Raw genomic sequence first — 27,992 nt, forward strand, 5'->3', positions numbered from 1 at the left:
TCAAAGCACTGTTCGGAATAGCAAAGACATGGAATCCACTTAGGTGCCCATCAGTGGTGGAATGGAAAAAGAAAATGTGGTACAGATACACCATGGAATACTACATAGCCATAAGAAACCAAAATCATATTCTTTGCAGCAATGTGGGTGCAGCTGGAGGCCATTATCCTAAGTGAATTAACACAGAAACAGAAAACTTAATGCCGCATGTTCTCACTTATAAGTGGGAGCTAAGCATTGAGCACACATGGACATAAAGATGGGAGCAGTAGCCACTGGGGACTGCTAGAAGGGAGAGGAAGGGAAGGAGGCATGGACTGAAAAACTACTTATTGGCTAATATTCTCATTACCTGGGTCACGCGATCATTTGTACTCCAAACCTCAGCATCGTGCAGTAATATGCATGGAACAAACCTGTGCATGCACCCTCTGGATCTAAAATAAAAGGCAAACATTTTTTTTAAATGAATGTTTGCTCTCAAAACAGTTTCCAGGCAGCTGTGAACTTTTCATTAAGTGTTTAATCTTGAAAATAATTTATTTCCATTTTATCCTCTATATAAATGACCATTTCTTAGGTCCTAGCTGTTAAGCCTAAATTGGGGTAGACTGAATAATGGCACCCCAGATATGCCCACAACCTATGAATGCTACCTTTTATGACAAAAGGGACTTTGTAGCTGTGCATGATATTGTGAAATATATATTTGGTCTTCCTCCCAGTTTCCTGGCATACAACAACTAAAATCCTTGGAATCTCCCAAGTGATATGGATCTTTTTGTATGATAATGAGTTGACTGATTGTTGGGGGCTCCTGAATAGCCTCCTGATGGGTGCTGGTTGCCAAGGAAACCAACCCCATGTTTAGAGGGTGATATGGTTTAGGTCTGTATCCCCACCCAAATTTCATCTTGAATTATAATCCCCATGTGTAGAGGGAAACAGGGAGGTTGGTGATTGGATTGGGGGGCAGTTTCCCCATGCTGTTCTCATAATAGTGAGTGAGTTCTCACCAGATCTGATGGTTTCATAGGTGTTTGGAAGTTCCTCCCTCATTCTCTCTCTCCTGGTGCCTTATGAAGAAGGTGCTTGCTTCCCCTTCACCCTCTGACATGATTGTAAGTTTCCTGAGGCCTCCCCAGACATGCAAAACTGTGAGTCAATTAAACCTCTTTCCTTTATAAATTATCCAGTCAGTCTCAGGGATGTTCTTTGTAGCAGTATGAAAATAGACTAATACAGAAAGTTGGATGGAACCTTCAGCATCCCACTCTCCAACCTCCAGGGAGGGGAAAGGGACTGAAAGATGAATTGCCCACCAATGGTCAATAATTTAATCAATTATGCCTCATAACAAAGCTTCCATAAATACCTCAAAGGGCTGAGTTCAGGGAGCTTCTGGATAGCTGAACACGTGGAGGTCCCTAGGGCACAGTGTGCCGGGAGAAGGCATGGGAGCTCCGTGACCCTTCCCATATGCCTTGCTCTGTGAATCTCTTCCATCTGGCTGTTCGACTGTGTTCTTCGGAATATGCTTTATTAGAAAATGATCAACATAACTAACATGATTCCCTGAATTATATGAGCAACTCCAGCAAATTAATCTAATCTGAGGAGGGAGTCATGGGAACCCCACTTCATAGCCAATCAGTCAGAAATTCTGGAAGCCCAGCCTTGAGACTGGCATCCGAGGTGGGTGGCAGTCTTAGGGACTGAGCCCTCAATGTGTGGTCTCTTAGGCTACTTCCAGTAGACAATGTCAGAAATGAATTGAATTAGAGGACAGTCAGCCAGTGTCTACTGGAGAATTGCTCACCTGGTGCGTGGGGAAAAATTTCCACAAATCTAGGGTCACAGAAGTGTTGATCATTGAGGGAAAGAACAGGACAAACACTTTTTTTTTTCTGACTCTCAAACTGCAATTAATTTAAAGATCTTGAGACAGAGAGGCTCTCCTCAATTATCCGGGTGGGCCTGATGTGATCACAAGGGTCTTTATAAGAGAGTCACAGTAGAAGAGAGTCAGAAGAGAAGGCAGTGCCATAACAGAAGCAGCGACTGATTGGCAGAATGAACTTTGAAGATGGGGGGAGGGGCCACCTGCCAAGGGATACAGGCAACCACTAGAGGCTAAAAGGCAAAGAAATGGATTTTCCCCTCAGAGCCTCCAGAAAGAATCAGCCCTGTTGACACATTGACTTTAGCCCTGTGAAACTATTTCATACTTCTTGCTTCCAGAACTGTAATAGAATAGATGTGTGTTGTTTTAAGCCACTAAATTTGTAGTAATTTGTTACAGCAGCAATAGGAAACTAATACAATAAATGAATGATTGTTTTTGTCTCAGAGGGCTTATTTATTTATACTTGAATTTACTCTATTAAAAAATTTCCTAGGGCTTGGCTCAGAAGTCCCCCAAGGGAGGAGCCCCCTGTTCTGATGTTCTCATTGCTTTGATTGTGGGCCTCTTTTCCAATGTGCCCCCTGCTACCCAGTCACATCTTCAGCTCATTGTCTCTGCCAGAGCTTGTAAGCAGACCACCCACTCCATCTCTTCCTCTTCACCCTGGCGCTGGCCCATCCTTTGTGCATTTTGCTAAAATGTCATCCTGAACAAAGAGGCTCGGAGGACTAGTACAGTTGACTGGGCTGAGCTTCATTAGGGACCACTGATGGAGCACCCAGCCCACTCAGACACTCAATGCTGACCAATGCAGAATATTTCTTAAATCAGTTTCATTAGCTTCCCTTTTCAAGGATTTTAGACTAAAATATGTTAATGCTACCTGTTCAGAATTCTCTAAGAAGCACTATAGACAGGTATAAAGCAATGGCAATATTTTGCTTTCTGGAATATCTTCAACCATTACTTATGCAACATAAATGTGCCCATGGAAAACCTTGTGCACTCCTGGCAACGTGGGGCTAACATGGGCATGATAGACTGTATAAAGGCAAGAGTCTTGAGACACCTGGAGTGGTCAGAATTTGCTAGAAATAGTGTGGTTGGGAAGAGTCAACAGAACCGCTTGCAGGGTCCTATTCCTGTAGAACCTTCCACACCCAGCTATGTGTACAGAGCTGTGTTAATGATACTAGTCAATTACTTCACCAATATTTACAGCAGTTGCTTCAACTCTTTATAAACGGCATCTGTTGTGGTAGGGGCTGGGTTAGAGCCTCCAGAAGGAATTGCTTGTGAGTTCACAGCTTGGGCTGTGGAGACAACCAGGAGTAAGTGAGGCAGTTTCCAGTGGAGAATTCCACCTGCATGGACAAGCCTGGGGATGGGCGCTTCAGATTTGTAATAGGAGAAAAGCTGGCTTCCAGGACGGGGAGAAGGGGGAAATGTCCAAAAAAAAAAAAAAAAAAAGAAAAATGAAGGGACGCATTCCAGACTCCTACTTAAACATGACCAGGACTTTGGTTTTTCACAAATTTGCCCCAGCCTCTGCTTCCTTTTCTTTTATGGGGGCAAAAACAGGAGCTTTTCAGAGAAGAGTTTTGTTTGTGATGACAATTTCTGTTTTAAAAAGCAAAACAAGTGAAAATAGAGCAAATTGGGCTAAAGTCTCCATTCTGAGCGTTATTCTAAAACCTTCATTTTCATAGAGCTATATAGTTTATAAAGCATTACAATGAAACATCATTCTGAAATTGTTATAATCTTTTTACAAACAATTTAGTTTGGAGAAGAAAAAATCTCGGAAAGATTCTCTGCCTTCTCCAACATCACATCGCTGGACAGTAGCAAAGCTGGGACATAAGCCCATGTTCCTAAATCCAGCCTAGTGTTCTTCCCCTACACCACAGCAACCTGTGGGCCAGCAAATGCATAAATAACACTTTTGTTTTAATGCCATGCAAATTTAAATTTCTGATTTCAAATTGAAAGAAGCTCCCCATTTTCAGCTGGTAAAGCTGAGGCCTGGAGATGTTAAGTGATGCTTTTGGAGGAAGGGCTATGACTGGGTCATTGGTATTGAGCTGTCAGCTTTGCACAGCCTGCAGTTTGATTAAGAGCCAGTGGAAGAAAATTGAGAAAGTATAGAGATGTAGAAAACATACATTTTTCCTCTGCATTTCCTCCAGTTACTGTTCCCACCTGACTAAATGCTCCTTTTGTGTCCTAGCTCTCTTTTCCTCTCCAATGCTCAAGAACATTGCCCCAGCAGTTTTCTCTTTGCTCCTTATGATCAGTTCCTTCTCTCCATTTGATAATTCCTATTAATAGACATATGTGCTGTAATTTCTGCCATGTTTTAAATGACAAAATACCTTCTCTTGACTTCCTTATCCCCATCTAGGTGCTAACACCCTTCCACATTCCTAGTTACGACAAGATTCCTTGAAAGAATTGTCTACACTTGCAATCTCTATTTTTTCCCATCACATTCTGTCTAAAGTCTACTCCAAAAAGCTTTTACTCTCACCACTCCTTTGAAACCACCATGTTGCAATCACCAATATCCTCACATTGCTAAATTTAATGTAATGGTCAATTCTCAGTCAATGCTCCTCATTTCCAACCCCTGGAAATGTTGGAGTGCCCCAGGGCTCAAATCACAGACACCTCCTTTGGTGATTTTGTCCTGCATCCTGGGTTCATATATCAACAATATGCTGATAGTTTTGAAGTTTTCATATCCAGGCTGGGTCAGTCCTCTGAACTCCACATTCATATATCCAACTGCCCACTTGACATATCCTTTTAAATGAATAGGCAAATCAAACTTGGCATGATCAAATACTAACTCCTGGTATCTACCGCTCCCCGCCCCGACCCCAAATTCTGATACCTTGGTCTATATCTTACTTCCAGTTGATCAGGCCAAAAGCCCCATGGTCACCTTTGACATCTCTCTTTCACACCTCATATCCAATATATCAGGGGATCCTGTTGGTTTTTTCTTGAAAATACGTCCAGAATCTGACTTACCACTTCCACTGCTAGCATTCAGATCTTAATATCTTACCTTGATTATTGCAATAGTCTCCTAACTGATCTCTCTGCTTCCTCCCTTTCCCTCTCCTGCAGTCTAATTTCAATACAATAGAAAGAGTGATCTTGTTACAATGATTTCAGGTCCTGTTACTCCATTTGATGTCATCCCATTCCACTTAGAGTAAAAGCCAATGTTTTTACCTTAGCCCATAACATCCTACACAAGCTGTCCTCCCACCTACCTTCTCTGATATCCCCATGCTCATGACTCTCCAGACATAACTGACCTCCTGGCTGGCTTTCGTATATATCAGGCATGCTCTTACCTCAGGTCTTTCGTACTTGCCTTTCATTCCTTGTGCCTGGAATTCTCTAACCCTTATTATCTGCATAGCCTTTGCCTTCAACTCCTTCAGGCCTTTTCTCAGATGTCTCTTTATCAGCTCTTCTCTGACCATACTTTTTTTTACAATTGCAATACCCTGCTCACCAGCATTCACTATCCCCTATTCCTGCTTTATTTTTCTCAGTATCATTTATTGCCATCTGGCATTTTATATATATATATGTATATAAAATATTAAAATATATATTATATATATTACTTCTTTGCTTATTATCTGCTTCCCCATCCCCACTAGACTGTTGTCTATTTTTCTTACTGCAGAATCCTTTGTCAGCAGACCTGTTCTATACCTGGATACCTGGATGAGATGTCCTTGAGGATAATGCCTGACCTTTCTTGACCATCAAAAAAGTTTGTCAGCAGAAGTTAGAAGTGGAGGTATGGATCTCATGCCACATATATTCCATTCACTGGAAAGCAATAGCCTTTCTCACACATTCACACACCAGACTTTGTGTTTGCATAGCCTCTTGTTGAGTCGGGAACTCATTTCTTGTGAGCCTCGTCCCTGTGAGCATCTTGACACAGTTGAGTTTCTGGGCCAACAGAGCTGAGGACCTGGACCCTGAAAAGCACCTTGGGACTCTCTGCCTGGGATGCCAGCTGCCTGCCCTCAAACCTATATATATATATATATACACACACATACATACATATGTGTGTGTGTGTGTGTGTGTGTGTGTGTGTGTGTGTATTACGGTTCTTAAATCCAGCTTCAGTAAGCTATATTAGAGCACATTTTTTTCGTTTTGTTCCTAGAATCTTAAGTGTAACTACAAATTAGCCCCAACAAATGAGGTGTATGGTCTATATATAAGATATAGTTAATTCTCTTGTGTGATAGGCAGTCTCAGTTTTAGTCTAAGCAGATTTCAGACATATCCAGTGATGTATGAACTGGTGGGATGGAATCAGCGAAAGTCTATTTGCCTAGTGCTGAGGAGCTTCCTGAGGAGGAACTTAGGTTGAGGGAACAGTAATCCAGGCACAGAGAGTCTGGGAAGACAATGAAATCTTAGCATCTTAAGGGGGAAATTCTGAGAACATCGTGGTGTCTGTCTCTTGCATTTGTCTCTCTCTCTTGAGCCTGCCAGACTTATCTTAAGGAAAGCAAGAGTGAGGTCCTTAAGTCAAAACTGAAAAAATAGTTTCATTAAAGTCTGCTTTAAACACTGGGACTCAAGAAATTCTCATGGAGGGTAACACAAAGCAGAGAGGCATTCTTTCTCACTTGACCAAGAAACATGAGAGTCTTGACACCCCTGGGTTTCCAGTGACTTGGTGGAGGAGCTGGTAGGAGAGTGGGGGCACACAGAGAAGTCGAGTGGCAGGGTCCCCCAGGAGGGCTGGAGGCTGAGCAGGGACATGCTGCTCCTGGTAGGCACAGAATGGGAGGGAGAAAAACCACACCGCCTATGGGAGCAGACTTGTACCGAACTACGTGAGATAACCCATGAGGGCTACAGGACATTGGAAGGGCATTTTGCAAGAGCTGAGACCCTTCATGACAGGTGGGCACATGAATAAGTGGAACTTGGGTGTTATTAAGGCAATTCTATTTCTACCCACCTGCTGAGGAGGCCCCAGGAAACTCAGGATACCTTCCACACCTAGGAAAAGTGTTTACCTTGCATAATGAGTTTCTTAAATATTAACAGATACATCCACCAAACATATTTTTAGAAAATTTTCCTTAGGTTGTCTTCCAGACCCAATCCTTCTCTCTCCAGGCAGCTTTCTCAGATAACTCTAATTTGATGTTTCCACTTGCTCTTGAATAGCTCCCACCCGGTCGGTGTCCAGCCACAGCTCCTGCCCTTGCCCATACTCTATGTTACACTATTCCCTAATTATTGCAGGATATCTTTATCTTGTGTCTTCAATGAAGCTGGGATGCCCTTGAAGGCAAGGGCACATCTCTACCTTCTCTTGTACCTATCTAGCTCAGCTAGGCATGTCACAGGTGTTCAGTAATTACTTGTTGATTACTTCTTTACTTTCCAGAACTGTTTTTCAGATTATACTCAGTGTGGATGAAGAAGGAAAACCCCAGGTATCTTGCTGGATTCTAGTGTTTTAGGAGCGGAAAACAGATCCAAAGGCCAGGTTGTCATTGAAAAAAAAAATTCTCTGGCTTGAACTGAATTTGAAATCTACCTGCTAACAGGATTTTTCAGATAGAGCTCAACTGTGGATCCTCTTTGTGTGGCTGAATCAGTCTTATATTCAGATTTATCATTTGTATATTGGAGATACTTACACCGAATATACCCACCTGAGAGGTAGCACAGCACTGTGCCGAACTCTGGTAGAAGGTTGCTGAGGTATGAAGTCCTGCTCCACCAGTTTACAAATGATCTGGCTGGGGACTATTACTGAACATTTCCAGGTCTTGGTTTCTCCATCTTTAAAATGGGTATGATGATGACGATGATTCTTACCTCTTAGGGTCATAAGATGATTTTATGAGTTAATTCATATGCAACGTTTAGAATGAAGCCCAGCATATAATGGATTGTACATTAATGCTATTATCAATCTTACATAAGTTTTGATTTAAAAATGAGTGTAGAGTACCCATAACAGTAATTATCGCTTAATGTATGTTAGCTGCCATTCTCTCATGATGAACAAGCAAGTACTACCTATTTTAAATTATTAAAAACGACAGACATTTGTTGTTAAATACACATTTTTAAAATTATTAAAAACAACAGAGAAAAAGAAGCACTCATTCTCATTCTCACAAATTAATTTGTCTATACTGAGCCTGATCCCAATCTATAAAGAATCTGCAGGAAGAAAGGAAATCAAAATCCTGAAACTAAGAAAGGAGAGCCCTTTCCCTTACTTCGTATCAGAGAGTAGAACATTTCTGAAAATTCACAGAAAGCTTTTTTTAGAACAGACCATTCAATTCTGAAAAGAAAGTTCTTAAAATTGTCTATAGTGTATCCCTGAGCATCCTGAAGATTTTAAATAAGTTGTCACAGCAGCTTCACCCAGAGGCTGTTTCATCAAACCACAAAGTGACACTCCCAGCCCCCAAGTGTCCTGTGGAGAGCAGAAAGATGGCAGCTGGAGAGCTCACCCAGCAGGAATCGTTGCCCGCATCTGCTGCACTCCTTAGAATTCCTGGAGAGAAACATACCATACTCCTGGCATGCTTCTGATGCAAAGGTGGGGATTCTAAGCTGCTATAGTTTTTTGGACTTCTTTCTACCTTAAAGGCAAGGAATCTCTGTTGTTAAGTTCATAAAGATCCACCCCCGGACCCCAACCCCGCAAAAAAAAAGAATATATTTTCAGGGGATATATTTCAGGGCATGTTATTCATACAGATGAAAAGAAAGGTGATTCCACCATGTAGCTTAAAAGGTATGTGATATTTCTGCGCAAATTGTCAAAAAAATATGATGTTACCCAAAACATTATTTATAAGAAGTGATGGCTGTGGAAATAATAATAATAATAATAATAATAATAATAATAAAGCCTAAGACATAATTTTGAGAAAATTGAAGGCTAAGGCTGAGAAATAAATTCTTACTGGGATTATGCTAGTGTATCGGAACTGCTTCTATGACTCTATGACTCCTGAAGCCTGAGAGCTTCAGGCAACAGAGGCCAGAGGCTCAGAACAACACTTGGGGACCTTTCTTTATGAAAGTGAAATCTACCTCCAGGGAGCCTCTTTCTCACCTCCCATTCACTCTCTATCTTTAGCAATCAGACTGTGGAATTCTGACTCACTGAGGTTACCTACAACATCCCAGTGGCCAAATCCAAAGGCCTCTTTTCCCATTGTTATGTTACTAGATTCTGTCCAGCATTTTTCATCATTGACACCTCTTTCCCCTGTCTTTGCTTGGGCTGATATAACAAATATACCATTGACTGGGTGATTTAAACAAGAAATTTATTTCACAAAGTTCTGGAGACTGCCAAGTCCAAGATCAGGGTATTGGCAGATCCAGTGTCTGGTGAGGGCCCCCTTCCTGGTTTGCAGATGTCTGTCTTCTTGTTTTATCCTCACAAAGGGGAGAGTAGAAAGAGAGGAAGCAAGCTCTTGTGCGTCTCTTCTTATAAAGGTACTAATCCCATCGATGAGGGCTCCACCCTCAGAACCTAATTATCTCCCCAAGGACCCACTCCAAATATCATCACAATGGAGATTAAGCTTCAACACATGAATTTGGTGGGAGCGCAAACATTCAGTCCACAGCAAAACCTAATCTCTCTCTCCACAGCTCCCATGTCTGTCCTGGTTCTCCTCCTCCCCTTATGCCTGGCTCCTTTCAGCCTTTTTCTTTGGTCTTCCCTTTTCTCTTTTTCCTCTAAAAATAGGCTTCTTTTGGGTTGCAACTCTCACCTTTATCTGCTACCTCCCAGACCACCCCATCCCAGGCTTGATTCTTAATTCCTGGACATCTGCAGCTGGATATCCCACAGGTAAATTGACAGGCACACATTAAATTCATCTTCAACCTCTCACACCCTCCTCAAATGTGCTACTGCTATGATATTCTCTTTTTTGGTCTTTGGAAATATTGTGCTTGGCAATGGCTTTGCTGAATGTACCCCCTGGTGGCCGAGAGAAGGAATCACTGCAGCCACACTTTACAAAAATTTTTCCACCCGGGGCTTCTTTGCATCATGAGGTCATTGTCAAAGAAGCCAGAACAAAGAGACCCCAACTGCTTTCATCCCTTCTTATGAAAATGAATTTTCATTCCCGACTCTCTCTATTATTCTGTGTCCTATGTGTCCGAAAATTTATAAAAATAAAAATAAAAAATAAAGGATTTGACTTTTCTCCTGATAAATCAAAATGGCAAAATGGCAAACTATAAAAGTTTCCCCACCTCATCTTCTGCCTGCTCTCCTCACCACTGTATTTTCCACATGGAACAAGATGTCACTTATATATGCCAATGGATGTCATGGACAAACAAGGAACAGGGAAAGCCCAGAACTTCTCAATGCTCATTGGCACTAGAACATAGTAGTATACTTGCTATTTTTCAGAGGTGGGATCTTGTGAATGAGACCACAATTTGGCACAGAAAGTAGTCATTGCCACTGAATTATTCACTCGAGATGAGAATTTATTCTGGTGACTGGAAATATTCCAGTGTTGCTTTGAGCAAAAGGAACAGTGACCACATCCCATGAAGCTCCATGTGATGGCTTTTTTGATATGTCAGCTTAGCTAGGTGACAATCCACAGTTATTAAATCAGACACTAATCTAATTGTTGCTGTAAAGAAATTTTGCAGCAGTAATTAAAATTCCTAATCATTTGACTCTAGGTAAAGAAGATCATCTTGAATAATCTGGGTGAACCTGACTTGATTAGTTTGAAGGCCCTTAAAAGCAGGGCTGAGGCTTCCCCAAAAGAGAGAAGAAATTCTGCCTGTGAGGAACAACTTCAGCCCATGCTGTGGATTCCGGTGTTTCTATGATTTTCCCTTTCTGAGCACCTGGCCTGTAGATTTACCTGCTTAGTCAGCCCCCACAATTGTGTAAGCCAATTCTGGTGTATCCGTTTGCTAGGGTTGCCATGACAAAGTACCACAAACTAGGTGGCTTAGAACAACAGAAATTTATTGTCTCATAGTTCTGGAGGCTAGAAGTCCAAGATCAACGTGTCAGCAGGGATGGCTCTGTCTGAGGGCTGTGACGAGGAGTCTGCCCCAAGCCTCTCCTCTAGCTTCTGGTGGTTTACTGACAGTCACTGGTGCCCCTTGGCCTGTAGATAATGTATTGCCCCAACCTCTGCCTTCATCATTACACGATATTCTCCCTGTGTGTGTATGTCTCTCTGCTTCCAATTTTCTCCTTTTAATAAGGACACTAGTCATACTGGATTAGGGCCCAGGCTAATAACCTCATTTTAACTGATTAACTCTGTAACAACCCTATCTCTAAATAAGGTCACATTCTGGGGTACTGGAGGTTAGGACTCTAGTATATTTTGGAGGAAGATGGAATTAAATCCATATCACCTGCTTCTCCGGTTGAACCCTGGATTATACTCTGTGTGTATCAATTGGTCCCCAAAACAGCTTACCAGAAACATTGGTTTCTCCATTTGGCACATCTCATGTCTCCAGAAACATTGATTCATCCTCTGATATGGAGATGTTTAAATCTGGGTATACTGGGTATAAGTATGATACAATTACTCAGTTTCCACAAAGACAGCCAGGGTTGGAGATTTATCAGAAAATGATTTATGAAGCTATTGTTAGAATTCTGGGGCACCTCAGCCAGCTAGACTCTATAGGTATTTCAAATGAGGAGTGGGGCATTTTAACTATAACCTGGCTTTGCCATCTGCAGCTGCTTAATACCTAAAAAGAATGAACAACTTGGAAAGCAGATAATTGGCTTTGTGGGGTTTGGAAAGAAGAATCATGGGTATGAGAATGTGTAAGGAAGCTGGTTAGGTAGTTCGAATGTCCAGGGCCTGGAACTGGTGAAGATATTTCATGTTTCTATGTCTCTGTTATGTACTGCACACTTGCTTGTGGCCAAGTGTATCTTATCTGATTTAATCCTCACTACATTCTTATTAGGGATGCATTGTTTTCCCTTAGTAGGGTTGAAAAAAATGAGTCTGAGGTGACTCTTAAGATTACACATCTAGTAATGATTGGCCATCAGGATTCAGACATACAGTCACTCGTTCTTTGTGAACTCCCTATACGTGAATTCACCTACTCACTAAAAATTATTTATAGCTCCAAAAGTGATACTCATGTTGTCCTCAGGATCATTCATAGGCATGTGAAGAGTGACAAAAAATACATGTTGTTAGACACACGTTTCCACACGAGGTAAAACAAGGCAATATTTTGCCTTCTTGCTTCAGCCGTCATCCTATAAACAAATGTCCTTTTCATGGTCTATTTAGTGGCACTTTTTTTTCATTTCTGTTCTTTTTATTGGTGACCTCAACCTTTAAAATGGCCCCAAGCATAGTGCTGAAGTGCCGTCTAGTGTTCCTAAGTGCAAAACTCTGTGGTGTGCCTCACATAGAAAACACACGTGTTAGATAAGCTTTGTTCAGACATGAGTCATAGTGCTGTTGGCCATGAATTTAATGGCCGTGAATTCATTGTAATGAACCAGCAATATATATTAAATAACATATCTTTAAACAGAAACACACATAAAACAAGTTTATGTACTGATCAGCTGATGAAAATGTACCTTGAAGGCACCTAACCTTGTACATTTCCTAGGAGGGATGGCTGAGTATTCTCTTATTCAGTGTCCATGGTGACTTGATAGGATGTAATTACTGCAGATAGTGAGAATCGACTGTCTCTGTGTTGGGCTCTAAAGACCTCTAATTCACATCACAAGGATTAGAACTGGGAACCAAAGAGTTGGTAACTCTATCTTCTTACCTGCTTTAGGAATGAAGGAGACTGTAGCCTGAAAGCCCCTGCAGGTCCCGTTTTCATCTGATTGGAAGCTGATGAGCATGATGCTGGAGGGGCTCAGCACAGGGGTGGGGACATCATAGCCACACAGCCGAGCTTGTTGAAGGCCAGCCCAGGCATGACATTGTCAAGCACCCAGCAGATAGCCATGGCATTGGAGAGAAGAAAAAAAGAAAATCATCCTTCAGGTAATTGTTGAGAAATACGCTTTTCACAATTCATTTTCTAAATAAAGGCAGCTCACTCCTTAATTAACCCCATGACATTTCAATTTGGTTTTCTCTCCTGAACACTCCCACACACAATGATGTTAAGGGAACTGGTTCTAGCCTCAGGACTTGTTTCAATGGAACTTTCCCTTTCTGACTCCTAGTTTCCTCATGGGCCTTTTGCATTTCTGTTTCAGTGGTTCTTTGATTCTCCCTTTTTCTCTTCCTGCCCCTAATGAAGAAGACAAAGGAGTGATGGTGAGACCACAGGGAGGGGTGGAGGTGGTGCAGGAAGATGGAGGAAGATTGATCTGTCTCCTTTTCGTTCCCATCTCAAGACTGGGTCCAAACACAAACCAGAGCGAGCTGAGGCTCAGAGGACACAAACCTATTTCCTTCTTCCTTTCTACATCGCTGTGCACTGTCACATAGTCGGAAGTGCAGTCTCCACTTTCTTCTATTTCCAGACTCTGAAATGAAAGCTGAGAAGACACGAAGTTACATCCAGAGTAAACAATCTGAATGAATTACCTGACTTTGATTCAGCAGAGAAATTTGGATTGCTCAACTTGTTCTGGAGTAAGACCTTAGATAAGAAAGTTAATGGGGTATTCAGGAGTGGGTCAGATTACCAAGGGAAGGATTCTATATCACAGGCTCTAACTTTTTGAAATAGCTACCAAATATGGCCTGAATCAAAGGGCAGGAAACTGTGCAAATATTTTAGCTTCCTAACATCTCTAAGAGATTAGGAGAGCTACCGCATGGGGATTTTTTTCCTTGGAAGCAACTAGGCACTCAACTCAACTAATTGCATATACACAAAACTGCTTCTCTGGACATCTTAGTGTTGTTCACCTGGTTCCTGATGTTTCATCTTGAACCTCTAGTTCTCCTGAATCAAGACTGAAATTTGTTGTGCCCCTTGGAGACCGTGTCTTTCTACCCAGCGGGATATAGCTGGCTCCTCTTCTCACCTGCTTTGTCCTGTTGCCACTATATTTCCATGCCTCACTGCAAAATTCTGAGAAGGCACAGATGTAAGTGAGTCTAATTGCTGATATAAAACAAAGTATCATCTGAGCTACTGAAAGCATTTGCATAAGTGGGCTCGGAGTCAAATGTAGTGAGCCTCATGAATGTGCATGAAAAAGGAAATCCTTGTATGAGTTAGAGAGAGCTGATTTTGGATACTAAGCTTAAATGTAAACCTCAGCAAAATTCTTGAGTAGATTATTAAGCTATGATGAGTAATGACCTAGAAAAGAAAGTTGATCACCTGGAATCAACCTAGGGTCACCAAGAATAAATCATGACAAACCTTTTCTCATAGTTTCTATAATTGTGATGCTTATTGGCAGCATAATATTTCATTTATCTCTATCCTTGAGACCTGTATTTTTTGCTATCTTAAAAACTTGGCAGTGAATATCTTTAGGCATTTACTTTTTTTCTTCTCTTGTATCATTCCCTGCATGGGGCACTTGTTTTGTTTCAGGAAAAGGGAGGGGAACTATCTAGATAGAAGGAACAGTGTGAAGGAGAAACAAAGAAACAATAAAGAGTGATCTTGGAGCAGTTTGGTGAGCACTAGCCAATTGAATTTGAAGTGAAGAGTGGTGGGAGAGAGGGCTGATGAAATAGGAACTCTAATTTTAACACACAGTTGATGGGGATTCAATGGGACCCAGACTCTGAGCAAGAAACAGAAAGGATTGTGTGGATAAAACAAAACTGGAGGCAAATAATTACTAATGGTAAAGGTAGGCGTGGGGAGGGGGACCTGTATCAGAAATAGGATTCATTCAAACATTTATTAAACCCTTACTGGGATACTTTCTGGGAAGGGGCCCTTTTCTCTCCAAGTCAAATGGTGAGCATATTCCTATGACTTTTAACACCAGTTTCCAAATTACTATCTTACACGAGTTCTGCAAAATGATGCTGTCACTGGCAGAGTATGAGAGCATCGCTTCACTGATGCACGACACTCAAACTTTACTTATTGAAGAGATATTTTTCAATCACTTCTGGCTCTGGCATTTTCAGATTTTCAACTAAATTTCCTCTTCTTCCTCCACCTGGAAACATGCTCACAACCTAAATTTTATCCTCCACCACTAACAAATTTTCCTTAATTCTGCTGAAATTTTTGCCCCAAATCTGTTTAGGTTTGATGAACTTTTAGAAAGAAATCTATACCAACTGCCTCTGTATCATCTTTTCCCACTCATTCATAAAACCTGTGTGATCTTGTTTCTGCCATTAACATCTGACTTCACGTGATATTTCAGATACCACCAATCCCAACTCCTCTCAATTGTTCAATTTCCCATCTAATTATTCTCCCTTTTTTATGGAGGTGTGGGGTGGGGACTGGACACCTCAGTTCTCATCTCTTTAAGTTCTAACTTAGTGTGGTATCCAAATGATTGGTCACATCTTTTTCTTTGGTTTTGTTTGTGTTTTAAGTTAAAGGCTGCATTCTCCAGGCTGTCATAAAAACACACCAATTTGGTTCTCCTCCCACATCTCAGAGTTCTTTCCATCTCTTAAGTGAGAACGCTGGTGTCTCATCATCCCTCACTCCTCTCCCCTTTATTTTCTGCTCTCTTTTCTCTCCATCGTACACTGTCTTGTTTTCAATTATTATTTTAAAAGAAAGATCTATGAGAAAATGCCTCATTCCAATCTCACCCTGACTGCAGTCCTACTTCTACCTCCCTGATGATATCTCTCTGCAGATGGTCCATTAGTGTTTAATGAACAAACAACTAACCACACACTGCTAATCAAATGTGGAATAAACTCCATTTCCAGGCGTTCAAAGGCCTCCATACAGTGACTTCCACCTTGCCTTCCACTGTCCACTCCAGGACACCTTAAGACCCTCTTAAACCAGCGATTCCCTGAGCCTGTTCTGCGCTGGTTCCTCTAGGCTTGCTCTGTCCTCTCTGCTTGAAAGGCTTGATGATTTTGGCCTGATTGACCTTGATTTTGTTATCTATAACTTACAATGTGTTTTGTGAGCAGTTTAATAAATAAGGAAGACATGCTTGTTTCTGGAATGGACTAAAAGTCACCAACACAAAGTTTTTGTTTTGTTTTGTTTTGTTTTGTGTTTTGAGAGTTTCGCTCTTGTAGCCCAGGCTGGAGTGCAGTGGCGCGATCTCGGCTCATTGCAACCTCCATCTCCCGGGTTCAAGCAATTCTCCAGCCTCCCGAGTAGCTGGGATTACAGGCGCCCGCCACCGCGCCCGGCTAATTCAATACAAAGATTAAAGCGGCACTTTTTTTTTTTTTTTTTTTTTTTAAAGTAAGGAGCACAGTGCCATCTAGTGGAAAAAATGTGTAGTTGCAGGGGAAACTGGGCGGATCCATTATTCAGCAAGTATTTATTGACAGCTTTGTGTGTCAGGTGCTGGGTTCTAGGTACTGAAAACACAGCAGTGAATAAATCAGATAAAACCTCTGACCTCATGGTGCTTATGTTAGCTATTCTGTGAATTTACCATAGCTACGTAAGGACAGCCAAAGTCAATACCTTAATTAGGTGATGTTTGGAGGCTTGAAAAATCCAGTCACAGTTAGCCTTGTCACTGTAGTTTTCAGGATAGTTTAGACTCTGTATGAGACCTTCTTCAAAAAGGACAGTTAAGTAACTGCAACCTGAATCTGAAACGTAAGAAAAAGTCCAAACAGATGGCACCATTCAAATAAAGAAGAATTCTCACTGCTCTCCCTCCTGTCTCCTGAAAATGATGCATATCAATTGCATTTTCAGACACTGCGAACAAGAAAAGACGTAGTGCATGATTCTCCAGAACTCATCAGGCCCTCTCGACTCACTTGGAGGGGCAATCACTACGAGCTAGCAGGGTGAACTCAGGGTTGAGGGGGAGACTGCCCCCTGTTCTCTAGTTGGCCTGTGCCCCTCTCCCATGTGGAGTCAGTTGGGCCTTGGGAGAGGGATCCCTGCCACTCACCTAATTCCTATGGGGCCTAAGCTTCTACAGAAGGTGGAGATAGTATGTGATTAAAAGTAAATGGTTTTACCAGGAATGTAGTTTGGTTTAAGAGCTTTATAGGTAAGATTAAACCCAGCTGCATTATCTGTGGCATCAGAGACGAATTTCAGCCTTAGAGAATTAGAGCCAATAAGAATGGATGAAGGGAGGCTTTCTCCACAAAATTTTCCTGCAGGATGAGAAAAAAGGATTCTTTGTTCAGAATCTAGAAAATAGTTCCCATTCAATGATTTAAGAAGAACTGAATTTGCCATGATATTTCAGGATTGTCCAATCCAAAGTTTCTCAGTCTTGTCACAATTGACATTTTGAGCCAGAACCTTCTTTGTGTTCTTGCCATCCTGCATCTTTTGTAGGATATTTGGTAGCATTTCTGGCCTCTACCAGTGACAATTCCTGCCCTTGTGACAACTGAAAAATGCTTCTCATTCATTGCCAAATGTGTCCTGAGGGTTGGGGGTACAAAATCACCTCCAGCTGAGAAACCACAGAAACACCATTCCATTTCTGTTTCTTGTAAGTAACCTGTCTCCTTCTCATGGTTGTCTATTTGTATTTTCCTTCTTAGCTTGATGAGGCAGGGAAAGGTCATTTTCACAGCTAGGAAAGCAGTGAGCTGTCTGGACATCCTGAGAGGCCCTGGAATATATCTAGAGTTTATTCCTCATGGACACCAGGTCTGGCAAATGGGCCTAGGAAGCCTGGTTTGATGGGAAGCAGATTTGGCAAGTAAATTGCCCTGTGACCTTGCAGCCATCACCCAGGCTCAGATTTGGTTCCTTCCCACTCCCAATTCTGAGTCTCAAAGCGGAAGTCAAGAAGTGTGGCATTTACAGATGGCTGAGTGCCAGACATAAGATAACTAGGCCTCATTAAGCCCACTTGGCACTGGTTTCCATTTGACACTGTGAAAATCCACTCACCAATGGGTCTGTCTTCTAAAGAATACATTGACAGGTAACTGTGGTGACAAGACTCAACATCTAGGTGGGAAAAACTGAGCAACACATGCATTTCCTCTGGTACCAGCAGGGTCCAGACACACCGTCTGTAGGCAGATCATGGAGAGGGCGTTATTTCTAGACAGAAAACGACTATCACAGTCCAATTGGTGGGCCCAGACCGGAGGTGGGAGTAAGGAGGAGGAGTACAAAGGGGGTTACTCACTGCTTGCTCTCATAATATAGGTGGAGGCTTTCTGGGAAGTGCAGCTTCCCCTCAGCCCCGCTGACTATGACATCCTGCTCACTGCACCAGGCTGGGAGGGAAAGCCAGGAGAGTCAGGGTTAGTTATGCCAGTTAACCACAGCAGCCCCTCCCTCCAGAAGCTGCAAACACCATAGCCTCCTGGTTCTTCTTGATGTACTCTTCGTTCTTCATGAAATCTTCTCCTGTCTTTGCTTCTATGATGCCTTTTTGGTTCCTTTTAGATCCTGCTTAACCTTGAGATTCTATGATTGGTTTTCTTTCCTTAACTCTTCTCTCTCTTTTTATTTTATTTTATTTTATCTTTGAGGCAGGGCCTCAATCTCTCACCGAGGGTGGAGTGCAGTGGCACGATCACAGCTTACTGCAACCTCAACCTCCTGGGCTCAGGCAATCCTCCTGCTTCAGCCTGTCGGGCAGCTGAGACCACAGACTCACACTGCCACACCCGGCTAATTTTTTGAAGAAATTATTTGTGAGACAGAGTCTCACTTTGTTGCCTAGGCTTGGTCTTGAACTCCTGGACTCAAGCGATCCTCCCACCTGAGCCTCCCAAATTGCTGTGATTACAGGCGTGAGCCACCTCTGGCCCTTTACTCTTCTTTTGCTGACCTCATACTTTATTCTATAAGTGCAGGTATTTCCCAGCTTCTAGCCTTCGTCCTCATCTGCTCTGTCTCTATGATCCCTTGGACCAGGTTCATTCACACCCTCCATTTCAGATGTCATCTCTACATTTCTGAACTTCAGACCTGATTTTTTATGACGGTTTCCTAGCTGTCTCCCTCAGAACTCAATATGCTATAAATAGAATTCCTTGGGTCAGCAAAACTGCACCCACTTCTGATTTTATTATTTTTGTGTGCCCTTCTCTTAGTCTCTCATGCTCAAAACTTTGGTACTATCTTCTCTTCCTCCTTCTTCGTTACAACCTTTCATCTAATTGGCTCCCAATCCTCATTTCTCGTTTCTATTCCTTCCTTTTCATTCTGTGGATATTGCCTTGGTTCAAACCTTCATTTCTTGTCTCTCAAACTAATGAAGAATTTCATACGTCCATGCATTTGTCCCCTCGCAACCCATCCCCTACATGCTGTTCTTACACTATTAAAATATAGTTCAAACCTACTTATCTAATTAATCAGCTTTCTATTACTCAATCGTATCCAAACTTTTTTGGCTAGCATTTAAAGTTTCCATAGTTTGATCTCAAGTTATGTTTCTATTCTTCTCCCTTATAAATCCTCATCACATGCCCTGTGCTTTTGTTGCTGTCTTCATCCTTAAGACCTTTCCTTTAATAAGGATGATTCCTTGAGCTGGAATATTTTTCTTTACCCATATTCCATTTCCACTTGACAAAATCCTACTCCTCCTTCCAGTTGCAGCTTCAAAGATGTCTGTGCATCAGAGCTCCCCTGTGAGTTTATTTGTTTTCAGCTAGAAGCAGCCTCTCATTCCTCTGAGCTCTCAGGGTACTATTTTTCTATATTGCTCTTTGTAGATCTTTCCACGGGTTCAAAGAACAACTAAAGATTTGAACTAAAGTGTCTTAGAGACCATCTGGCCCACACTATTTTCTTTATGGATGAGGGCCAGAGTTAGGAAAAGGCTCGCCCAAAGTCACAGAGTGAATTCATCGCAGGATCGCAATGGAACAAAGGGGATGAGACCCTATATAAGTAGGGACACTTTCAGGGCAAGGTGTGTAGCTTACTGACCACATCGGCACTGCCTTGCCCTCTTTCCTTGAGTCTCTGATTCCAAGCTAGTGTTTGGCAAAGGTTGGCTGAATTGGGACAGAGCTCTGGATTGCTAAGAAATGAAATGGGAGGGCAACTGGGGCTTCTGCTGGGCATAATGGCTGTAGGTGCTCCAGGTGGTAGTTTTAGACCTACTGAGCAGGGAGCGCTCTTGGAGAGGAAGACTTCAGGAACTGATATTCAGAAATGCTAGATGTTAATTTGTGCTCCTGATGGAGCAGCCTGCAAGGGATACCCACCTCTGGAGCTCTTTCTCCGATTACCTGGGAAAGGAAAAGAAGGATGCAATTGAAAGCCTGTGGTATCCTGAACAACGCTTCAAGAAGTTAGCATCTTCTTGGCGCACAAGAGATTTTTAAGTCAATATGCAACTAATAAAAATCTTATCTGTGGAAAGAAGGGAAGGGATAAATGGATAAAGTAGGAAAGGGCCTCTGGTGTTTTAAAATGATTTAATTCTCTTTATTAAGTGGGCTAATATGAAATGGTAATTAACTGGAGGTTTCACAGAGGAAGGGGTCATTTTACATAAGAACAGAGGCTAGAGATGGAAATAGTTTGTCCATAACTATAAAAGAGTTGCTGGGTTAAATAGGTCAAACTTTAACTGAGGGCTCAGATACCTGCCACTGTACCATACACTTGAAAACAAACTCAAATTCCTACTAAACTTAATTTAAATTAACTTGTTTAGAAAAGGATAAAAGCCTTTTTGAGGTTGGAAGCCACCAGATAAGAAAACAATTAAGTTGGATTTGGAGGAGGCAAAGAAGTTGCAATGAGCTCTCTAGTCAGTTTATCACAAGGGTGTACACTCATCCCTCAATATCTGTGGGGGATTGGTTTCAGAACCCTTGCAGATACCAAAAATCCGAGGATGCTCAAATCCTTAGATTAAACGGCATAGTATTTGCATGTAACCTAGGCATGTCTTCCCCTATGTAGCACTCTAAATTGTCTCTGGAGTGCTTGCGATACCTAAGACAAAGTAAATGCTATGTAAATAGTTGTTACACTGTATTTTTAAAAATTTGTATTGTCATTATTATTGTACTGTTATTTTTATTGTTTTTATTTTTCTCCAAATATTTTTGATCCACAGTTGGTTGAATCTGCTGACATGGAACTTGCAGATACGGAGGCCTGGCTGCATGTAGATCCTGGCTTTTGCAGACTTACTATACCTGGATCTACGCCAGGGATTCTCATTGTTGGTACTATTAACCTTTTGGGTGGGATCATTCTTTGTTGTGGGAGGCTGTCCTGTACTTTGTAGGATGTTTAGCAGCATCCAAGTCCCCTACCCACTGGACACCAGAGCCACTCCTCAGCTCTGCCAGTTGTGACAATTAAAAATGTCTTCTGATACTGTCCCTGGGGACAAAATTGCCCCTGGTTGATAACTACTGATCTGTTATAGTTTGCTGGATTTTTTTGAGAAGTAAGTGGTGCCATCGTGTAATGGTGAGCACTCTGGACTCTGAATCCAGAGAAGTAAGTGGTGAAAGCATATCATCAACTGAGATAGTTTCAATTAAAGGCCAGTTTGAGAAGGTCTAGGATGGATGGATTCATTTTTCATTGAATATCTGCATGCTGCTCCACATACCATATTTTACTCTTGTTTTATTTAGACTTGGTAAACCTCACAATCCTTGTGTGCTACACTGAGAACAGAGGTAGAGCCTGTTGGTTCAGGTGCTCTGATTTGCCAGGACTCTGCTGATGCTGTCTCTGGCCCTAGCAGAATGGCAGCTTCTTAACCTTGTGTGATGGCTTAGTTACCAGTTTGGATGTGTTCGTGGATCCAGGGAAGCACTTTACTAATGTCTGTGAAGATCCCAGGGGATCCTTGATCACTTTTCCTCACATTGTTTCTCCAGCCTCGACCACAGCCCAAACCCCAGGAAGTCACACCAGCCAGAGTCCAGGCCCCTTTCTTATTCCGGCACATGAGTGAACCTCCTGAATCTCCCTGCAGAGGGAAAAAGCCTCTATTAGCATCACTGTCAGTGTCTATGCCCCAAAATGCTCACTGTTTCCTCACAAGGATGCTGGAGGAGGATCAATGACATCTCCTCACTTCTAATAATTTAGACTCAGGGTCCTGTGTATACAGATCCCAGCACAATTCCCATATGATCCTCAACTATCACTGGAACCCAACAATCCCACCTCCCTTTTCCTCATCCATGGCTTTCATCAAAGCAGCAGACTTTCTTCTTTCTCTCCTCTCATGCTGCAGACTCAGAGAAGTCTTGGCCAGCAATGAGACTGACTTCAGGCCTTGGTTAGTAGGAAGAATGGAGGAAAAGTGTAAAGTTCCCAACATCCACAAACTGGAAAATTCTAAATAGGAAAGAGTCAGCCATCCTTCAGGAATGGGAGAACCCCGAGTTCATTCTTGGCATTATCTCTGTTATTTGGTCTTTTGGAAAAAGCAGAAGACCTCTTTTAAATCACACTTCCTGCTAAAAACAGATTGTTTCCACTGTCCCTTTATTTTGATGTAACCTCCCTTGGTACTCCTAACCCTTCTTTCCAGATTCCTGCCTTACCTGGAATCAGTCTTCCTGCAGCCCCTCACCTGATAACAGGTGAGCCTCTTAGGGAAATGGTTTGGATCTACCATTTTTCTCACACATTTAACTAACTATTTGACCCTTATAGCTTCTTCAAGACTATTCTTTATTCTACCCCTCCAATATGCTTTCTAATTAAATTAAATTTCACTGAAATTTAAGAAAACTAGAAGAAAACAAAACCAAGGGAATCCTTGCCTGGGGCCTGACAGCCCCGCAGCTCCCACCCACCTGACATGCGTCTCTCCCTCCATCAGGAAAACCTGTGCAAAGAAAGGTCTTCCCACTGATGGGCCTCTTTAGTGTTAACAGAGCTGCCACACACTCTTCCCAGGTCAAAATAGGCAGATTCACTTCCTGCAAGACTTGTGAGAGGACGCCACCTGAAAAACAGAGAGATGGAAGCCCCAGCAGGAACTCTTTCACCCTTTCTGAGTTGAAGATGCATCATTTGTGTTTGTGTCGCTTGGCAAGACTTGAATTTCTAAGTACAATGTGACATTCCCTATCTTTAGAAATGTATGCACAATCGATTTTTAAAAATGGATTAAAAATTCCATTTTCTGATTGCCCACCAGAAAGTTCTGACCTCTGCTTAAGAGGAATGGCACACAAGTTCTTACCTTCAGTTAAGCGGCCCCAGCCTGCAGTTGTACAAATAAAACCAGCCTCAAATTGCTCCCGCAGCTCTGGAAGACATATGGGCCCCACAAAGTGGCCTGAAGAAAAGAGCAAGGTAGGGCTTGTCTCATTCATGGAGGAGAGGACACTATAAGCCACTCACCACTTGGTATCCAGGTGGTCCCCTAAAGACCTCATGAGAGTTGTGATAGCTCTGCCTGGCACCTCCAGGGGTTACTTGTCAATTAAAGAAAACCTTCTCCTGACTCCATGTAATGCTATCTCCAGAACCACAAGCAAAAAGAGTTTCAGGTAGGACTCTCCAGCCTAAATTCCTATCTCAAAGTGCATGACCCAGAACGTATACTGCAGGAAATGTGCTATGGCACAGAGGTTATAGAGAACATGGGGTAGACAATTCAGTATGATCCTCAAATGTTTACCAAATTGGAAGGCTCCAGCCATCTTCAAAAGGGCAATATCATAGTCCATTGGTTTCTTGGTGGAGAAATGTGGATGTATGATGACAGTTTCAATAGTGAGAGTTTGCTCTCCTGGGTCTGTCTGGCTTAAGTCATACTCTCCAGCAGTAACATTCAAAGTAGACACAATGTTTCTATGGAAAGCAAAGAGTAAAATGAATGAATTTCATTGTGCCTCTGAGTACAGTTGCAATGGTTGACACACTAGCTTCTTTAAAATGATATGGATAAATAATATGGGGTGTGAGGCTGCTGAGCAGAGAAAGTGAGAATAATTCCAACACTGTTAGAAAAAAATGCAGAGATTCCAACTTCCAGTAGAGGACTAGTGAAGAGTGGGTTCATATATAGCCAAGGATATGATGAATTTAATACTTTGCAATGTTATTTGAAAATATCTAGAGAGGCACATACATTGTAGTTCAGGGCTCTACAGCTATAGGGGACTTTATTCAGCTACCCTGGGAGGTTGACCTGACCTAATATCAGTGAGACCCTTTGGGAATGATTTGTGATTCCCAGTAAGTATGCTACTTCAATGTCAGAGATCCTATGCTTAGTATATATTATAAGGCACAGACTGCATTATAACTAACTAATGTTCTCTGAAAGGAACTTGGTGGGATGCATTGAGATATATAAAGACTTCAGCTTGCCATCCTTTGAGACGCTTCATTCCCAGAAGTGATGCTTCTATACAAAATTGAAAAAGGCATGTTTTCTCTAGGTATACTTCCCTGACTCTTGGCCAAATTAGGTACCTAACTTAACACATAATGTCTCTCTTACCTACCACTTGCCACATTGCTGTGAGATGATCGGTTGACTCTTGTTAAAAGAAGAGTCAACTCTCTGGGGGCAGAAATCATGTCTTAGTCATTTTGGTACCTTTGGTATCTAGCACAAAGTAAACATCCAGGAAATGTTTGCAGACTTGAAATGAAAGAATGACTATATGGGAACATGATCTTGATTACAGCCTAGTATACGCCCAGAACACTGTCAATAATAGGATATTTGGATCACACAAGAAAGTGGGTAAAGGGAAGTTGTTGGGTTGAGTCCCAGAGAGGCAGGATCAATGGGAAGGAAGACAGGGAGCCTACTTTCTACTTTACTGGTCTCCCTTTGTTTTCTTTTATCCATTTCTTCAGATGCATAATGAACTAGATATTTTTTCACTGAAATTTAAGAAAACTAGAAGAAAACTTTCACAAATCCTTCTTTGTAATGCTCTTTTTTTTCTGACTTGGATGCTATTATTAACTTCCAGTTATTTTAAGTAAAAACGAATTTTACCTCTGAAAAGAATATATGTCATCTACCAAGTGCCATCTGACAATGTCACCCAGCCCCATTTGTGTCATGCAATTAGGATATTCATCTGTTAAACCAATACTCACCTATCACACAGGTCCATGTTTTAATAGGGTTATTGCTGATGATTCCAAGGGAGAAGAAATGGTGGTGTGGTCTTCACTCATGGGCTAGGCCTTTCTTACCTGTTTGCAATGCAGTGAGCCGCCGTGATCACCCACTGTGGTGAGACGATGCTTCCTCCACAAATATGCTTCTGCCTTTGTTTCAGAGATACCTAAATTGCAAATACCTTAAATGAAAGCAAGTTCATGCCCTGGGATCCCCCTAAACACGGTGATGAAGCCTATTCTCAAAACCAGACTCAGATATCACACTCGTAAATGTCAAGAATCGTGGACTGTGAAAAGATAAAGCCCAGACACTACCGCTCAGAAAGAAGAGTGGTGCTGGCAACCCTGGTCTAGATGAGAGGTAGTTAATTTGAGATGACTGGCTGTAAGTATGTGTCAACAGAGGTAGCAGTTAGAAGTGGTGAGATGTATTTACTTATTTTTATAACACAGTTGATGCAGACCTGTTGCTCTAACAATATGAACAGTGTCTGTGAATGAAGGTAAAATAGTATAAGATATTGCAGAGTCCAGCTGAAGAGGTTTGGAAGAAAGGCAAGGTGAGGGCTGGGGAGCCTTTCAACACATACTCCTATTTCTCTAAGCCTCTTAGGGAAATGGTTTGGATCTACCACTTTTCTCATACTCTTAACTATTTGACCCCTATAGCTTCTTCAAGCCTATTCTTTACCCTACCTCTCCAATATACTTTCTAATTTTTGCTTATCCTATTTGTGATACTTGATTTGATTCTAAAATGACTTACTATGTACAAGTAAATACTTTTTCTTATGACATTCATCACATGCCATGATGACTATTCTGTCTTTCAACCCAACTAGGCTGTAGGCTCCTCAAAGATATAAACTTAACCTTAAAAATATCTATATCCATAATATCTAGCACAGTTCTTGATGCATAGAAGTCCTTGAGACTCACCTGCCAGGGATAGGAACCCTTCTCCACTTGGCTTCCTCCAAGAATGCGACTGAAAATGTTAAAATAATTCCAAGGCTGTACCTTAACCAGACTCTGCCCACAACTGGGAGCTGAGAAAAAAACGAGACAAACTAAATGATTAGATAGCTTCTAGGATTGAGGTAATATCTTCTCCATTTCACCCATGAAACTGAGTCTGAGACTATGGTGTATGGTGCTCAGCACACATTCAGATATCAATAAATCTTTATTGGATTTAATTCTCTTGAGGGATGAAAAGTGACAGGTCATTTAAGGAGAGTGGAGTGAAGTGTCCTGATTCACAAGTTGGTACTCGGATAGAGGTTTGCTAGGTAATAGAAGAAAAAACTCCTCCCTCTTTATGTAAAATACTTTATCCCTGAAAAAGTTGTTTTTATTTATTTGCCCTCAATGGGTTTTCTGACTCCTCAGCAAAGAGGTAGACTAGATTAAAGATGTTTAACATCACCTGGTAACTCAAGGATGGCACATCTTCTGTCCCTCCTGGAGGTCATCCTTTTCCATATTTTGAAGGAGGATTAGAACTAGCCTTGCTTCATAATCACCATGCTTCATTGCCTACCTAAATTCTGTAATTCTTATTCCTCAGCTTGGAGATCACCTCAACCAGGAAGTCTTCCTTGATTTCCTCAAAGTGGGATTGCCTCTCCCTTGTGTTGTGTAGCACGCTTTCTTCACCCCTTTTATAGTTCTTGTCATGCAGAATTGTGATAATGAATTATTTGCCTCTATCATCGGACTATGAACTACTCAAGGGAAAAAACTTGCCTTATTCACCTCTGCATTTCTAAGGTTTAGCTTAATTCTTGGCATAAGTAAGCACTTAGAAACACTGGATGGACAAACAAATGACTTTTCTTGAGAACACATCCTTAAGAGTATAGCTATTTAGATCAACATGTTAAAATATTCAAAGCTCTTTCATACAGCTTCTCATTTAATCCCACTCTATGCCTATAAATGAAGCACTGTTATCCCCACATTGCAGATGAGAAAACTGAGAATCAAGGAGACACACAGCTGGATAATGGCAGAGCATGAATGTAACAGTAAGTGTTTTGATCCTGAACCCAGTGCCAGGATGACATTGGAACAAAAGCTTATTTTCTAACTGTTTCAGTTGAATGAGTCATAAATACTTTAAATACAAAATTTACTATTTCCCAAATTCAGTAAAGCAAAGTCAGAAAACATGTTGATTCTCAGGGTTGGCACAAGTCTGACCAAGGAGAAATCTTCCAAGAACTGTTTTCAGCTTAAGTTAGTTGAAGGGGAAAAAAGACCATTTATAATATACTACAGTGAACATGCTTCATATTTCTCAGCAAGATGATTTTGTAAAAGATTAAAAATGCTTCCAAATCCATGCTGATTTCCAGAATTTGCTCTATGAACCAAGATGGGATTATGTAATGGGTTCAAGTAAGTGAACAATCTCAGTTCACTTAGGAAAACTAAGCGAAGAAAACAGGGATTGTTTACTTAATTGGATACATTAGTTGCATTCTATAAATGTTTCACCCTGTGTCCTATGCCGATTGCAGGAGATAAGTCCAAAATAATTGTTTAAAAACAATTAGATATCCAAAATATATTTGCTTCTCCTATTTTCCCAAAGGAACATGGAGTCTCGGAGTTGTGACGTCCATTGCCAGCAAAGGTTCAGACAAAGGTAATTATAGAGTTCATTTGAAACTTACCTTTGGGGAGCGAAAGAGTTGCAGATTTACCTCGTTCAAAAAAGACTATTCCTAGTAGTAAAATCAGCTTGTTCCTGCTTATAAGCATTTTGAGACTCATAGTTTTTCCCTGAAATTTTAGAGAGACTAAAGCAAACAAAAATAGGAAGCCTTGAGAGACCAGCAATAAGCCAATTTAAAAC

At 41.5% G+C, this 27,992-nt stretch overlaps 1 protein-coding gene and 1 long non-coding RNA gene across 4 annotated transcripts in view, besides 1 other annotated feature; one reads left to right on the forward strand and one right to left on the reverse strand.

Moving 5' to 3' along the window:
- The window catches only part of LOC105376533 (uncharacterized), a 44,608-nt gene that overhangs the window by 2,037 nt on the left and 14,579 nt on the right, over window positions 1-27,992 (forward strand). The window contains exons 2-8 of the long non-coding RNA XR_007062576.1: window positions 5,616-5,732; window positions 12,782-12,996; window positions 13,485-14,057; window positions 21,117-21,228; window positions 22,560-22,611; window positions 27,099-27,159; window positions 27,729-27,782. This is a non-coding gene — a long non-coding RNA (uncharacterized LOC105376533). The remainder of the gene's footprint in view (window positions 1-5,615; window positions 5,733-12,781; window positions 12,997-13,484; window positions 14,058-21,116; window positions 21,229-22,559; window positions 22,612-27,098; window positions 27,160-27,728; window positions 27,783-27,992) is intronic.
- OVCH2 (ovochymase 2) lies at window positions 197-27,981 on the reverse strand. 3 transcript variants are annotated; one of them, XM_047426878.1, is made up of 18 exons: window positions 27,811-27,981; window positions 26,069-26,178; window positions 25,202-25,293; window positions 23,661-23,833; window positions 23,220-23,315; window positions 22,828-22,979; window positions 21,800-21,989; window positions 20,254-20,277; window positions 18,213-18,303; window positions 17,969-18,093; window positions 17,074-17,214; window positions 16,562-16,692; window positions 13,406-13,499; window positions 12,773-12,904; window positions 11,428-11,517; window positions 8,446-8,577; window positions 7,630-7,797; window positions 197-437 (listed from the first exon to the last, which is right to left on the reverse strand). In XM_047426878.1, the coding sequence occupies exons 1-15, from the start codon at window positions 27,908-27,910 to the stop codon at window positions 11,459-11,461; spliced, it is 1,710 nt and encodes a 569-aa protein (XP_047282834.1). In that variant the 5' UTR covers window positions 27,911-27,981; the 3' UTR covers window positions 197-437; window positions 7,630-7,797; window positions 8,446-8,577; window positions 11,428-11,458. The 3 variants fall into 3 exon arrangements, with proteins under 3 accessions (XP_047282834.1, NP_937828.3, NP_001354892.1); NM_198185.7 differs by lacking the exons at window positions 197-437; window positions 7,630-7,797; window positions 8,446-8,577 and adding an exon at window positions 10,941-11,106; NM_001367963.1 differs by lacking the exons at window positions 197-437; window positions 7,630-7,797; window positions 8,446-8,577; ... (6 more) ...; window positions 18,213-18,303; window positions 20,254-20,277 and having other exon boundaries at window positions 20,450-21,989.
- Window positions 12,518-13,717: an enhancer, noted in NCBI's record as "CDK7 strongly-dependent group 2 enhancer chr11:7712245-7713444 (GRCh37/hg19 assembly coordinates)". NCBI's record gives its function as "activates an origin of replication core promoter dependent on BRD2, BRD4, P300/CBP, MED14 and CDK7 cofactors, with strong dependence on CDK7, by STARR-seq in HCT116 cells {active_cell/tissue: HCT116}" and the evidence as "EXISTENCE:reporter gene assay evidence [ECO:0000049][PMID:35650434]".

The sequence above is a fragment of the Homo sapiens genome, chromosome 11, assembly GCF_000001405.40.
Source record: "Homo sapiens chromosome 11, GRCh38.p14 Primary Assembly".
NCBI classification, from domain to species: Eukaryota; Metazoa; Chordata; class Mammalia; order Primates; family Hominidae; genus Homo; species Homo sapiens.

Bases quoted from the DNA above. Each gene is read 5' to 3' on its own strand.
- OVCH2 (XM_047426878.1), bottom strand. From the start codon at position 27,910: ATGAGTCTCAAAATGCTTATAAGCAGGAACAAGCTGATTTTACTACTA. The intron at 25,294-26,068 runs GTGAGTCTCAAG...TTTGCAATTTAG, and splicing joins AGGGTTCCTATCCCTGGCAG to GTATCTCTGAAACAAAGGCA. The intron at 21,990-22,827 runs GTGGGTGGGAGC...TTCCCTCTGCAG, and splicing joins GAGGGAGAGACGCATGTCAG to GGAGATTCAGGAGGTTCACT.